The following is a 15,306-nucleotide window of genomic DNA, read 5'->3' on the forward strand; positions in this document are numbered from 1 at the left end:
GGCAAGAGCCACAACAAAGGCAAGTCCAAAGTGGAACAGTGTTCTCATACCTCAGACTGACAACTTGAGTTTGGAGATGAGGTTCAGATATTGTCTCAGAGGCCATCTGTAGCCATAGCAAGCCTGAAAAGAGTGTCCGGTAGTGCTGTTGAGGGGTACTGTGGATTCTCCATGAGAACAGAGATAAATCAAGACTTGTCTGAGCGAATGAGCTGCCTTGTCATGGAGTCCAAGTAATGTTCAGTGATTCCTGTCAGAGGACCGCAAAGCCTCCTGAAAAGTGCAAACAACCTCAGTCCCCACAACAAGAAAACAACCCACAAACAGGAGTGCAGTTAGCATTCCCAAAGTCACTTTTATTTTCTGAAATAACTGGCAGCTAAATAATCTGTGCTGAGAGGCCATCCTATCCATCAGCAGTCAAATGAAAGAGCCCCTCCACAATGAGAAGTACATACAAATGAAATAAAACAAAGACTTGATTACCAGGCAAAAGCTAGACAAGGCTGCCTACTTCTCATCCTAAAGGAATCATGTAGCCCTCTGATGGAAATGGGAGAACAAGAGTTTCCTTGTTGCCAGCAGTAATGGGAATTTATGGTTTTAAAAGTATCAAAGCTGCACAGTCATTAAAACCTGATAGTGTTTAGAAAAAAACACTCATGCAATTGATTCCCATGAGGGTCATTCTTTGTGACCCAGGAAACGTTTAGTGTGGAAGTCGTTGAGCCAGATCCAGGAAACCCTAGCCCAATGAGGAATATGGAAGTCAGAAAAACAAGAGGCAAGTGTGGGTACCATATACCACCCAGCATCTATCCGTTGCACTCCCATTTGTCTTTGGGTATCAAAGCCCTGAAATTGGGAGTTTGCCAGCATGTCCCCAATTTGCACACTAACTGTTCCTTGCACACTGGAGTACTGCCACCTGAACACAGGCCCATGGTATGGACTGCTTGCGTAATTAAGAGAAGGCAGGGATGGATTTGGAAACAACTTCTGTGTCATCTTTTTTTATTTTTATTTTTGCAGGTGAAATTGTGAGACCCAATCCACTCTTCACCAGATTGTATCCTCACCCCTAACTGACCTTATTGCAGCTCACATTCTATGTCCCAAGACCAAATCCCAAGATGATGGAGGAGTGCACCCTCACGACCTGAAGTACCTGCTCTTCAGGGAGCTGAATTTGAGGTAAATTGTAGCGGCCCTGCAGACAAGACTGCTAGTTTCTATCCCTGGGTTCACTGCAAGACAATAAAACACTGGGAGATGTCTGTTTTTTTTTGGTGTGGTGTCCTTCCCTTCTTTCTTGAAGAGTGGCTTTTTTTTTTTTTGCAGGGCCAGGTGATTTAGATGTTGTCTGGTCCCAGCTAGCCTCCCAATTCACTGCAGATTCATGAACCACAGAAAAATAAAGAATGTGGATTCCCATAGCACAAGAAAAGCTACACAGACAGTCCACAAAAAGGTTGGGAGACTTAAAAAAAATTGCTAAACTGCATTAGCCACATTCTTTTAAGCAGACTCCACTTACTGGCACAAACACATGTACACACACACAAATACAATGCCACACACACACAGCCATTCAACACTTACAACTCTCTCACAGAAACACACAGCCTGGCTGCTCCTGAGGCTGCATGGTTCTACAGGAAGCCTCACCTGGGATAGAGCAACCCCAGGGATCACTGGTGGGCTGTACCTAGAAATCACAATAGGCAAGCTTCAAAAAGATTTACCCCTACAATTTCCAGGCAGGCTTCAGAAATAATGCAGATAATTTGAGATTCTTAGGTATAATAAGGTTTATTCCTGGGACTGTAATTGAGGTTTTTTCATGCTGGCTCATGCCTTCCCTATTCTAGGATCATGGTACTAGTTCATAAATCCCACATTCCTGAGATTTGTGCATGGTCATTCATGAGGGAAAATCGGGCATGCAGCTGTCAGAGCTGTAAGCCTGCTTAAGCAGAGAATACTGGTACAGGAAGAGCCAGCCTGCTATTGGGAAAAAGGCTGCCTGTGATAACCTTGGAGGTTACAGGCAGGCTGTATCTAGAAATCACAGTGGGGCAAGTTCCAAAAAGACTCACCTTTACAATGTGTAGGAAGATTTTAGGAATCCTGCAGAATCTTTTGAATTTTTAGGGATTTCATGGTTTATTTGTGCAGCTGTGCTTGAGATTTCTTCCTGCTGGTTAATGTCTGCCCTCTACTAGGATCATGGGACTATCCCATGGATCCCACAGAGAAGACAGCTGACAGTCCACCACTGAAGCACCTCCACAAGGTCTCCTTCTCCGCCAAGGGACTTGTTGCTAGGCAATGGTGACATTCATTGTGATGCAAGCCAGAACTCATAATCAGGTCTGGTGCCCTGAGACTACTGCCTGTGTATTTGAGAGGCAGGCTCCAGTGCCCAACTGTCAGAGCTGTCAACCTGCCTAAACAGAGAACAATGGTACAGGTGAAGCCAGCCTCATATTGGGAAAAATCTGCCTGTGAAAACCCACTGCAGGACCCTAAAAGTCTAGACCTCAGATCTCCTTAATGCCTTCTCCGTTGTGGAATACCACTGGAGAACTAGTTGTTTTGAGACTGTCAGGTTGTCGCTGGAATCTGCTCTTCTGATTCTGTTTCTGAAAGAGGCTGTGTGCAGGAATTATGCCCCATGGGAATGGCAACATAGTCTTATGTGTTGTTGAGGGTTCTTTAAGTGATAGAAACATACCTTAGATTCCAGAGGTGGGTGTAAGTGAACGATTGCCTAGCTGTTGACCTCACTGCCACCCTTCATCCTGGGCCTTGCAGGGGCTTTCTGGGAAAAACAGGAGGAACCAGGAAAAAGGCAAGCTCAAAATGAAGCAGTGTTCTCACACTTTGGACTGGCTTCTGTCTGGTGTGGATATGGTTGAGACAGTGTCTCAGAGGCCATCTGTGGTGATGGTAAGCCTGAAAAAACTGTCCAGTAGTGCTGTCGAGGGGTACTGTGGATTCCTCTTGAAAGCAAAGAAAAATCAAGGCTAGCCTGAGAGAACAAGCTGATTTGTGCTTGAGTTTTTGCAATATTCAATGATTCCTGTTAGAGGACCCAAAACCCTACTGCAAAGTGCAAACAACCTCAGTCCCTAAAACGAGACAACCCACAACATGGAGCACAGTCAGCCTACCTGAAGTAACTTTTGCTTTCTGAAATCCCTGGCAGCTTAATAATTTGTGGTGACAGGCTGTACTATCCAGCAATAGCACAATGAAAGAGCTCTTTTACAATGTGAAGACCATGCAGATAAAATGAAACATAGGGTAGATTACCAGGCAAAAGCCAGACACAGCTTTCTGATTCTCATTCTACAGGAATCATGCAGGTTTTTGATAGAAGTGGGAGAACAAGATTTTTTCTATTGGCAGTTGTAATGGGAATTTACAGTTTTAAAAATATGAAACTGCCCAGTCATTAAGACCTGACACTGTTTAGAAGGAAACACTAACTCAATGGATTCCCATCAGGTTCGTTCTTTGTGAACTAGGAAATGTTTAGTGTGGAAGTCATTGAGCCAGACTCAGGAAACCCTAGGCCAATGTGGAACATGGGATTTAGGAAAAAAAAGAGGCAAGTGTGGATGGAGGTCAGAGCCCACCCAGCATCAATCAATTCCACTCCCATTTGGATCAAGGAATGAAAACCCTCAAATTGATAGTGGGCTAGGATGTCCTCAATTTGAAATCCAAATGTGTTTTGCACATTAGAGTACTACCACCTGAACCCACAGTCATAGTGTGGACTGCTTGTGCAATTCAGGGAATGAAGGAATGGAGTTGGAAGCACTTTCTGTGTAATCTGTGTTTATTTTTTCTGCAGGTGGAGTTGTGGGAACTCATCCATTCCTCATCAGATTGTATGCTAACCCCTATCTGACATTATTGCTGCTCACACTTTATATGCCAGAATAAAATTCCAAGACAGTGGAGAAATGCCACCTCATGATGCGAAGCACCTGCTTGGCTGGGAACCGATTTCGAGTTAAATTCAAGGGAACCTGTGGACAGGACTGCCGGTATCTCTCTCTGGGCTGGACTCAGGACAAAGAAAAACAGGGAGATGTCCATTTTTTGATGTGGTGTTCTCCTCTTCTTTATAGAAGAGTAAATTTTTTTCTTTTTTTCTTTTTTTTGCAGTAGGAGTTGATATGGACTCCAACGAGTCTCTGCAAGCCTTCCAATTCACTGCGTATTCATAATCCACAGAAAAATAAAAAAAACAGAGCCCCACAGCCCAAGCAGAGCCACACAGATAGGTTACAAAAAAATTGGTAGACACATGAAAAAGAAGTGTTGAAGTGCGTTAGCCACATTTCTTTAAGCCAGCTCCACTTACAGGCATGCACACACACACAAACACATAATGCCACACACACACACACATACAGACATTTAACACTTACAACACTCCCCCAGAAACACACAGCCAGATAGCTCTTGAGTCTGTGTGGTTTTGCAGAAAGCCCCACCTGTGAGAGAGTAAACTCGGGGAACACAGTGGGGATGTACCTAGAAATCACAGAGGGGCAACTTTCAAAAAGACTCACCCATCAGGCAGGCCTGGGGAATCCTGAAGGTCCCTTTGTATCCTTAGGGATTTCATACCCCTCCACAAAAAGAAGGCTGTGCAGTTGAAATGAAACAGTGGCTAGATTACCAGTAAGAAGCCAGACATGACGGCCTTCTTCTCATGCTACAGGAATCATGCAGCCTTCCAATAGAATTGGGAGAACAGGAGTTTCCTTGTTGGAGGCTGTAATGAAAATTTATGGTTTTAAAAGTATCAAAGCTGTCCAGCCATTAAAACGTGATAGTGTTTAGAAGGAAACACTCAAGCAATGAATTCCCATGAGTGCCATTCTCCGTGTACTGGGAAACTTTTCATGTGAAAGTAATTGAGCCAGAATCAGAAAACCCTGGGCTGACATGGAACATGGAAATCACAAAAGGAAGAGGCAAGTCAAGAACCCACATCCCAACAAGCATTAATCCATTCTACTCCCCACTGAAATTGGCAGTTTGCAAAGATAGCCCCAATTTGCACTCCAAATATTTCTCACACTTTAGAGTACTCCCTCCTGAACAATGGGCAATGGTGTGGAATGCTTGTGCAATTAAGGGAATGTGGGGATGGAGTTGGAAGCACCTTCTATATCAACTGTCTTCATTTTTTTTTCTAGTAAAGTTGTGGGACCCCATCCACCCTTCATCAGTTTGTATCTTCACCACTATCTGACCTTATTGCTGCTGACACTCCTTGTCACAGGATGAAATCCCAAGATGATGCAGGTGTTCCTCCTAGAGATGTTAAGTGCCTGCTTGGGTGGAAACCGAATTGGAGTTAAATTCAAGAAGCCCTGCAGACAGGACTACTAGTGTCTCTTTCTGGTTTGGCCACAGGACAATGAAACCCTGGAAGACATCTGTTAATTGGTGTGCTCCTCTTCTTTTTAGAAGAGTGGCTTTTTTGCAGTGGGAGGTGATTTGGATGCCGGACATTCTTGGCCCACCTCCCACTTCACTGCAGATTCAACATGCACATAAAAATAAGGAACACAAAGCCACACAGCCAAAGCAGAGCCACACAGACAGGGCAATAAAAGGTTTGAGACTCAAAAAAAAAAAAAAAAATGTGCTGAAGTGAGTAAGCTGTATTCCTTTAAGCATAAGCATACTTCACTTAGAGGCACACACACACACACACACAAACAAACACATAATGACATACACACATGCAGACATGCAACAATCTCAACACTGCCACAGGAACCCAAATCCTGACATCTCCTGAGGCTTTGTGGTTCTGTGGTAGACCCACTTGGGAGAGACCAAACCTGGAGAACAAGGGTTTGTGGTAACTAGAAAGCAGAGTGGGGAATGTTTCAAGAATACTCACATCTACAATGCCTAGGCAGACCTGAGAAACCCCGCAGATTTTTTTGTATCCTTAGGGATTTTGTGGTTCAATCCTGGGATTCTGCTTGATGTATCTTCAGGCTGGCTCATGACTGCTCTCTCTTGGGATCATGGGACTATCCCATGGATCCCACAAAGTGAGAATCCACAGCCAATGCACCTCCTTGGAGGTCTCCTTCTCCAGCAATCTGCAGAGACTTGGCGTTAGGGAACAATGACATTAATTGTGACACTACCCAGAGCTCATAATCAGGCCTGGTGTCCTGTGATCTGTCTTCATTTTTTTTGCAGATGAAGTTGTAAGACTACATACACCCCTCACTAGATTTTATTCTCACCCCTAACTAACTTTGTTGCTGATCACATTCTATGTACCAGGATGAAATCCCAAAATGATGGAGTGCCCCCTCATAATGTGAAGCATCAGCTTAGCTAGGAACAAATTTGACATAAATTCAAGAAGCCCTGTGGACAGGACTGCTAATGTCTCTCCCTGTTTTGGCTGAAGGACAGTGAAACACTGGAAGATGTCTGTTTTTTTTGCTGTGGTGTGCTCCTCTTCTTTCTAGAAGAGTGGCTTTTTTTTTTTTTTTTTTTTTGCAGAGGCAGGTGATTTAAACACAGGTAGGTCTCAGCCCGCCTCCCAATTCACTGCACATTCATGATCTACAGAAAAAGAGAGAACACGGAGCCCCACAGACCCTAGCAGAGCCACACAGACAGGCCACCTAAAAGTTGGTGACTCAAGAAAAAAAAATTAGAGATGAAGTGTATTAGCCACATTTATTTAAGCAGACGCCACTTACAGGCACACACACACAATGCCGCACACACACACAATTACACACACACACGCAGAAATCCAACACTTGCACCACTCCCACAGAAACATAGCCCGGCAATACCTGGGGCTACATGTTTCTGTAGGAAACCCCAACCTGGGAGAGAGCCACCCTAGGGAACACAGGCGGGCTGTACGTAGAAATCAGAGTGGGTCAAATTTCAAAAAGACTCACCCTTACAATGCCTAGACAGGCCTGAGAAATTCTGCAAGCTTTTTAGTATACTTAACCATTTCTCGATTTATTCCTGGGGGTGTGCTTGACATTTCTGCACGCTGACTTATGTCTGCCCTCTTGGGATTATGGGACTACCCCAACTTTCCCACAGAGAAGACAGGCAGGAGTCTACTGCCGAAGCACCTCAGCGGAGGTATCCTTCTTTTCCAAAACGCAGGGACTTGGCTCTGGGCAACAAGGACATTAATTGTGACGCTATGCAGAGCTCACAATCAAGCTTAGTGCCCTGGGACAATCGCATGCGCATTTGTGAGGCAGGATCTGATGTCGTTGGGTCTCCCTGGAGGAAGAAGATTTTCAAGATTTTGAGGTTGTCCCTGGAAACTGTTTTCCTGACTTGATTCTCAAAAGAGTGCGTGTGTGATAATCGGGTACCATGGGGGTTGGAATATAGCACAGTGTGTTGTTTAGGGTTCTTTGGGTGACAGAATCATACTTGAGACCCCAGAGGCAGATGTCAGCAAAAGATTCCCAGGCTCACTGCCTCCTTTTATCCTGGGACTTTAAGAGGCTCTCTGGGAAATGAGGGAACCACAACAAAGGCAAGTCCAAAGTGGAGCAGTGTTCACATATCTCTTATTGTCCACTAATGGGTACAGATGAGGTTTGTCTCAGATGCCATCTGCAGTGATGGAGTGATGGCAAGCCTGAAAGGGGTGTCCAGTAGTGCAGTTGAGGAGCACTTTGGATTCCCCATGAAGGCAAAAAAAATAATCAAGGCTCACATGAGAGTATGAGCAGCCTTGTGCTAGAGTCCAAGCAATGTTCAGTGATTTCTGTCAGAAGACCCAAAAGCCTCCTACAAAGTGCCAACGTTCTCAGCCCCAACAAAGAGAGAAAGACCCACAATCTAGAGTGCAGCCAGGAAGTCCATTTTGCTCTCTGAAATTACTAGCAGCTACATAATCTGTGGCAAGAGGAAGTCCCATCCAGCCACAGTTCAATGAAAGAGCCTTTCAAAAATGAGAAGGCTGTGCAGATAAAATGAAATAGAGTCTAGATTACCGGGTAAAACCCTAACACAGCTGCCTGCTTCTCATCCTACAGGAATCATGCACCCCTCTGATAAATGTGAGAGAACAACTTTTTTGTTGTTGTTGTTGTTTTACTGTAACAGGAATATAAAGTTTTAAAAGTATTAAAGGTCCCTGTCATTAAAATGTGACAGTGTTTAGAAGGAACAACTCATGCAATGGATTTCTATCAGGGTCATTCTCTGTGAACTGGAACATATTTAGAGTAGAATTCATTGGGCCAGACCCAAGAAACCCTAAGGTGAGGACATTAATGTAAGTCATGAAAAGAAGCAGCATTTATGGAAGCCACATCACACCCAGCATCAGTTGATTCCACTCATATTTGCCTCCCAGTATGAAAGGCCTCAAATCACCAGTTTCCCAGGTTGGCCCCAATTTGCATTCCAAATGTTACTTGTGCATTGGAGTACTCCCACCTGAACACTGAGCCATGGTGTGGACTGCTTATGCAATTAAAGGAGTGGGGAATGGATTTGGAAGCACTTCCTTGTCATCTGTCTTTATTTTTTTTTTGTAGGTGAAGTTGCAGCACCCCATCCATCCCTCAAGAGATTGTATCATCACCCCTATCTGACCTTATTTCTGCTCACACTTTATGTCCCAAGATGAAATCCCAAAACGATGGAGGAGTGCCCCTTCAGGACATGAAGCACCTGCTCAGCTGGGAACTGAATCTGAGGTAAATTCAAGGGACCCTGCTGACAGGACTCCTTTGTTGGCCTTTCCCTGTGTTGGCCATAGGACTATGAGACACCGGAAGATGTCTGTCTTTTGCTGTGGTGTGCTCCACTTCTCTCTAAAACAGTGACTTCTTTTAGCAGAGAGAGTTGATATGGATGCCAGTAGTCCCAGCCTGTCTCCCAATTCACTGAGTATTCATGATCCATATAAAAATAAAGTACATGGAGGCCTGCAGCCCAAGCAGAGCCACATCAACAGGCCACTGAAAAGTGGGGAGATTCAAAAAAAAAGTGCTGAAGTGTGATAGCCACATTTCTTTAAGCAGACTACACTTACAGGTGCATGCTCACAGACACACACACACAAAGACACAAACACAAAATACCTCACACATATGCACACACCTGGCATTCTCAATACTCCCATAGAAACCAACAGCCCAGGAGCTCTGGATGCTGCATGGTCCTACAGGAAGCCCCACCTGGAGAGAGCAACCCTGAGTACACAGGGCAGGCTGTACCTAGAAATTACAGTAGGGAAAGTTTCAAAAAGAATCACCCCCTGCACTGTCTAGGCAGGCCTGAGGAATCCTGAGGATCTTCTTGGATCCTTGGGAATTTTGCAGTTTATTCCTGGGACTCTGCTTGATGTTTCTTCAGGCTGGCTTATGTCTGCCCGCTTGTAGGACAATGGGACAATCCTGTGGATCCCACAGAGAAGACAGGAGAGAGTCCATCACTGATGCAAGTCCAGAAAGGTCTCTATTTCTGCCAAGACTCAGGGACTTGTTGCTAGGCAATGCTGATATTCATTGTGATGCCAGCCAGAGCTCACAATCAGGCCAGGTGCCCTGAGACTAGCACATGCACATGCGTGAGGTAGGCTGATGCCCTGGCTATCAGAGCTGTCAGCCTGTCTAAGCAGAGAAAAATGGTACAGGCAGAACCTGCCTGGTATTGGGAAACAAGCTGCCTGTGACCACCTACTGTGGGACACTAATCATCTAGACATCAGGGCCCCTTCTGGCTGTCTCTGTTGTCGGGTCTCACTGGAGGAGGAGGTGTTTTGAGACTGTGAGGTCATCACTAGAAACTGCTCTTCTGACTCTAGTCCCAAAAGAGGCTGTGTGCAAGAATCAGGTCCCATGTGAATGGGAATATAGTCTGGTGTCTTGTAGAGCCTTGCTGGGTGATAGAATCATATCTGAGACCCCAGAGGTAAGTGTCAGCAAAAGATGGCCAGCTCTTGACCAGAAGACTCCCTTGATCCTGGGCCTCACAGAGACTCTCTGAAAAAAGCAGGAACCATGACAAATGCAAGTCCAAGCTGGAACAGTGTTCTCAAACCCCGGAGTGGCTTCTCACATGTGCTGATGAAGTGGAGGCAGTGTCTCACAGTACTGCAAAGTGCAAATAACCTCAGCCTCCACAAGGAGACAATGAGCCACAATCTGGAACACATCCATCCTACCCAAAGTCCCTTTTGTTCTCTGAAATCGTGGGCAAATAAATAATATGTGGATACAGGCAGCCCCATCCAGCAACAGCTCAATTAAAAATTCCCTCCACATTAAGATGGCCATGCAGATGAAATGAGACAGAATCTAGATTAGCAGGCAAAGGACAGACATGGCTGCCTGCTTCTCATCCTACAGGAATCATGCAGCCCTTGGATAGAAATAGGATAAAAAGTTTCCTTGTTTGAGGCTATAACGGGAATTTAAGGATTTAAAAGTATCAAGGCAGCCCAGTCATTAAAATGTGACAGAGTTTAAAAGGAAACACTCAGGCAATGGATTCCCACAAAGGATGCTCCCTGTTAACTTGGTAACGTTTACTGTGGCAGTCATTGAACCAGAACCAGCAAACCCTAGGGCAAAGAGAATCATAGAAGTCTGGAAAAGCAGAGACAAGTCTGGAAGTCACATCCCTCCCAGCATCAATTGATTCCACTCACATTTGCCTCTGGGTATGAAAGACCTTAAAATGGCAGTTTGCCAGGATGGCCCCAGTTTGAATTCCAAATATTCCGTGTTCGTTGGAGTACTCTCACCTGAACACTGAGCCACGGTGTGGACTGCTTGTGCAATTAGGTGGGGATGGATTTGGAAGCACCTTCAGTGTCATCTGTGTTTATTTTTATTTTGGCAGATGAAGTTGTGGGACCCCATCCACCCCTCACCAGATTGTATCCTCACCCCTATCTGACCTTTTTCCTGCTGACACTCCTTGTCCCAGGATGAAATCTTAAAATGATGGAGAAGTGAGGCTTCATGAGGTGAAACATCTGCTCGACAGGGAACTCAAGTCGAGGTAAATTCAAGGGGCCCTGCCAACAGAACTCCTTGTGTTGGACTCTCCCTGTGTTAGCCATAGGGCTATAAAACATGGAAAGACGTGGGGTTTTTGGCGTGGTGTGCTCGTCTTCTTTCTAGAACAGTGGTTTGTTTTTTTTTGTTTGTTTGTTTTTTTTGGTTTTTTTTGTTGTTGTTGTTGTTTTGGTTTTTTTTTTTTTTTTTTTTTTGCAGAAGCAGCTGATTTGGATGCTAGCAGTTTCCAGCCTGTTTCCCAATTCACTGCAGATTCATGATCCACATAAAAATAAAGAACAAGGAGCCCTGCATCCCAAGGAGACCTACATAGACAGGCCACCAAAACATGGTGAGACTTAAAAACAGAAGTGCTGAAGTAAGTTAGCCACATTCCTTTAAGCAGACTACATTTACATGCACACACACACAAATACAAAAACACACAATGCCTCACACATATGCACACATCCGACATTCACAATTCTCCCACAGAAACACACAGCCCACCAGCTCCTGAGGCTGTGTGGTTCTGCAAGAAGCCCCATCTGAAAGAGAGCAACCCCAGTTAACAGTCAGGCTATACCTAGAAATCACAGCAGACCAAGTTTCAAAAATATTCACCCCTGCAACATCTAGGCATGCCTGAGGAATTCTGCAGATTTTTTGGATCCTTAGAGTTTTGTAGCTTATTCCTGGTGCTTTGCCTGATGTTTCTTCAGTGTGGCTCATGTCTTCTATTTTCTAGGACAATGGGACCATCCCGTGGATCTCACAGATAAGACAGGGCAGAGTCCACACTGACACACCTCCACGGAGGTCTCCATCTCTGCCAATTAGCAGGGACTTGTCGCTAGGCAATGCTGACATTCATTGTGACTCTAGCCAGAACTCACAATCAAGTCAGGTGCCCTGAGAATACCACATGCCCATTTATGAGGTAGGCTAGGGTCCCTGGCTGTTGGAGCTGTCAGCCTGACTAAATAGAGGAAAATGTACCAGGAAAAGCTGGCCCAGTATCCTGAAACAGGCTGTCTGTGAAAACCCACTGCAGGACACTAAAAGTCTAGACTAATATCCCCTTCTGGCCACCTCCGTGGTCAGGCCCCACTGGAGGAGGAGGTGTTTAAAGAATGTGAGTTGGTCGCTGGAAACTGCTGCTCTGATTCCAGTCCCAAAAGAGGCTGTGTGCAAAAATCAGGTTCCATGTGGATTGGAATACTGTCTGGTGTATTGTGTGGTGTTCTTTGGGTGATAGAATCATATCTGAGACCCGAGAGGCAGGTGTCAGTGACAGATGGCCAGGCTCTTGACCTCAATGCCTCCTGTGATCCTAGGCCTCACAGGGGCTCTCTGGGTGAAACAGGAACCATTACAAATTCAAGCCCAAGATGGAACAGTGTTCTCATACCTCGGACTGGCCTCTCTTGGGTACAGATGAGGTTGAATCCATGTCTCAGAGTCCATCTGTGGCCATGGCAAGCCTGAAAAAGGTGCCCAGTAGTGCTATTGAGGGGCACTGTGGATTCCCCATAAAAGTAAAGAAAAATCAAGACTTGTCTGAGAGAACAAGCTAACTTATTCAACTTGTTCTGGAGTCCAAGCCATGTTCCATGATTCTTGTCAGAGTAACAGAAAGCCTCCTGCAAAGTGCAAACAATCTCAGCACCTGCAAGGAGACAATGACCCACGACTTGAAAACCAGCCAGCCTATCCAAACTCCCTTTCATTCTCTGAAGTCCCTGACAGATAAATAGTCTAGGGTGATAGGCATTCCCATCCAGCAACAGCTCAATAAAAAATCCCCTCCACATTGAGACGGTAGTGCAGATTAAATGAAACAGAGGTTAGATCAGCAGGCAAAGGCCAGGCATGGCTGCCTGCTTCTCATTCTACAGGAATCATGCTGCCCTTTGATAGAAATGGGAGACAAAGTTTCCTTGTTTGTGACTGTAATGGGAATTTATGGTTTTAAAATTATTGAAGTTGCCCAGTCATTAAAACATGACAGTGTTTAGAAGGAAACACTCAGGCAATGGATTCCTATGAGGGACACGCCCCATCAACTGGGTAATGTTTAGTGTGGAAGTAGTTGAGCCAGAAGCAGGAAGCAATATGGCAACGAGAATCATGGAAGTCTAAAAAAAAAGAAAAAATGAGGCAAGTCTGGTGGTCACATACCATCCAGCATCAATCCATTCCACTTTTATTTGGCTCCAGGTATGAGAGTGCTTGTATGAGATGTTTGCCAGTATGGCCTGAATTTGCACTCCAAATCTTCCTAGAGTGTTGGAATACTCTCACCTGAATATCAGGCCATGGTGTGGACTGCTTGTACAATTAAGGGAATGCGAGGATGAAGCTGGAAGCACCTTCTGTGTCATCTTTTTTATTTTTATTTTTGCAGGTGAAGTTGTGGGTTCACATACACCCCTCACCAGACTTTATCCTCACCCCTATCTTACCTTATTGCTGTTCACACTCTAGTTCCTGGGATGAAATCCCAAGATGATGGAGAATTGCCCCCTCATGACATGAAACACCTGCTCCAGTGGGAACAAAACTCGATGTAAAGTCAAGGGGCCCAACGGACTGGACTGCTAGTGTTTGTCCCTGGTTTGGCCACAGGACAATGAAACACTTGAAGATGTCTCTTTTTTGGTGTGGTGTGCAGCTGCTTTTTCTAGAAGAGTGGCTTTTATTTTTTATTTATTTATTTATTTTAGCAGTGGGAGGTGATGTAAGTAAACACCTGCAGGTCTCAGGCCGCCTCCCAATTTACAGTAGATTTATGATCCACATAAAAATAATAAACAAGGAGCCCCACAGCTCAAGCCAAGCCGCATGGACAGGTCATCAACTAAAGGGTTGGTGACTCAAAAAAAAAAAAAAGGAAGAAGTGATTACACACACACACACACATACACGATGCCACACAGACATGCGGACATTCAACATTAGCAACTCTCTGACAGAAACACAGCCCAGCAACTCCCTTGGCTGTGTGTTTCTGCAGGAAACCCCACCTCAAGAGAGCCAACCTAAGGTACAGAGGCAGGCTAGAAATCTGACTGTGGCAAGTTTCAAAAAGACTCATATCTACAACCCCTAGGCAGGCCAAGGAATCCTGCAGATTTTTTGTGTCCTTAATGATTCCACAATTTATTCCTGGGGTTGTATTTGACGTTTCTTCAGGCTGGCTCTTGTCTGCCCTCTCTTGGGATCATGGAACTATCCCATCTATCCCAAAGAAGATAGGCAAGAGTTCGCAGCCAATGCAACTCAACGGAAGTGACCTTCTCCTCCAAGCCACAGAGACTTGGCACCAGGCAACAATAACATCAATTGTGATGCTACCCAGGGCTCACAAACAGTCCTGGTGCCCTGAGACTAGTGCATGTGCATTCGTGAGGCAGGATCTGGTGCCAGGCTTCAGAGCTTTCAGCCTGCCTAAGCAGTGGGAAATGGTATGGGCAGAGCCAGCCTGGCATAGGGCAAAAGGTGGCCTGTGAAAACCCACTATGGGACACTAAACTTCTCGACCTCAGGGCCCCTTCAGACCATTTACATGGTCGGGTCTCACAGGAGGAGAAAATATTTTGAGACTCTGAGGTGGTCACTGGAAAAGCTTCTTCTGACTTCATTTCCAAAAAAGGCTGTGTGTGAGAATCTGGTTCCACAGAGATTGGAATATAGTACCGTATTGGAATTGTTGTGTTGTTGAAGGTTCTTTGGGTGATAGAATCATACCTGAGACCACATGTGTGGATGTCAGTGAAAGATGGCTGGGCTCTTGACCTCACCATCTCCATTCATCCTTGACATCACAGAGGCTTTCTGGGAAATGTAGGAGCCACGACGAAGGGAAGTTCAATGCAGAATCATGTTCTCACATCTCATATCATCCTCTAACAGTTACAGATAAGGTTTAGACAGTGTTTCAGATGCCGTCTGTAGAGACGGCAAGCATGTAAATAATGTCCATTAGTTCTGTTGAGGGGCATTTTCGATTCCTGTGAGAGGGAAGAAAAATCAAGGCTCACCTGAAGGAAACAGCTGCCTTGTGCTGGAGTCCATGCAATGTTCAGTGATTTCTTTCAGAAGACCCAAAAGCCTTCAGAAAAGTGCAAACGTCAGCCCCTGCTATGAGACAACGATCCACAACCTGGAGCACAGACTGATTAATAAAAGTCCCTTTTCCTCTCTGAAATCTCTGGCAGCTACATAATCTGTGGCAAGA

The 15,306-nt window shown here is 45.1% G+C and overlaps 1 long non-coding RNA gene across 1 annotated transcript; it reads right to left on the reverse strand.

Annotated features, from left to right (window-relative positions):
• Window positions 1-4,711: 4,711 nt before the first annotated feature.
• Window positions 4,712-6,133, reverse strand: LOC105377234 (uncharacterized). The gene is made up of 3 exons (XR_938652.2): window positions 5,942-6,133; window positions 5,283-5,360; window positions 4,712-4,798 (listed from the first exon to the last, which is right to left on the reverse strand). It is a non-coding gene; the product is annotated as an uncharacterized LOC105377234 (long non-coding RNA).
• Window positions 6,134-15,306: the final 9,173 nt, after the last annotated feature.

Source organism: Homo sapiens, chromosome Y, assembly GCF_000001405.40.
Source record: "Homo sapiens chromosome Y, GRCh38.p14 Primary Assembly".
Classification (NCBI taxonomy): domain Eukaryota; kingdom Metazoa; phylum Chordata; class Mammalia; order Primates; family Hominidae; genus Homo; species Homo sapiens.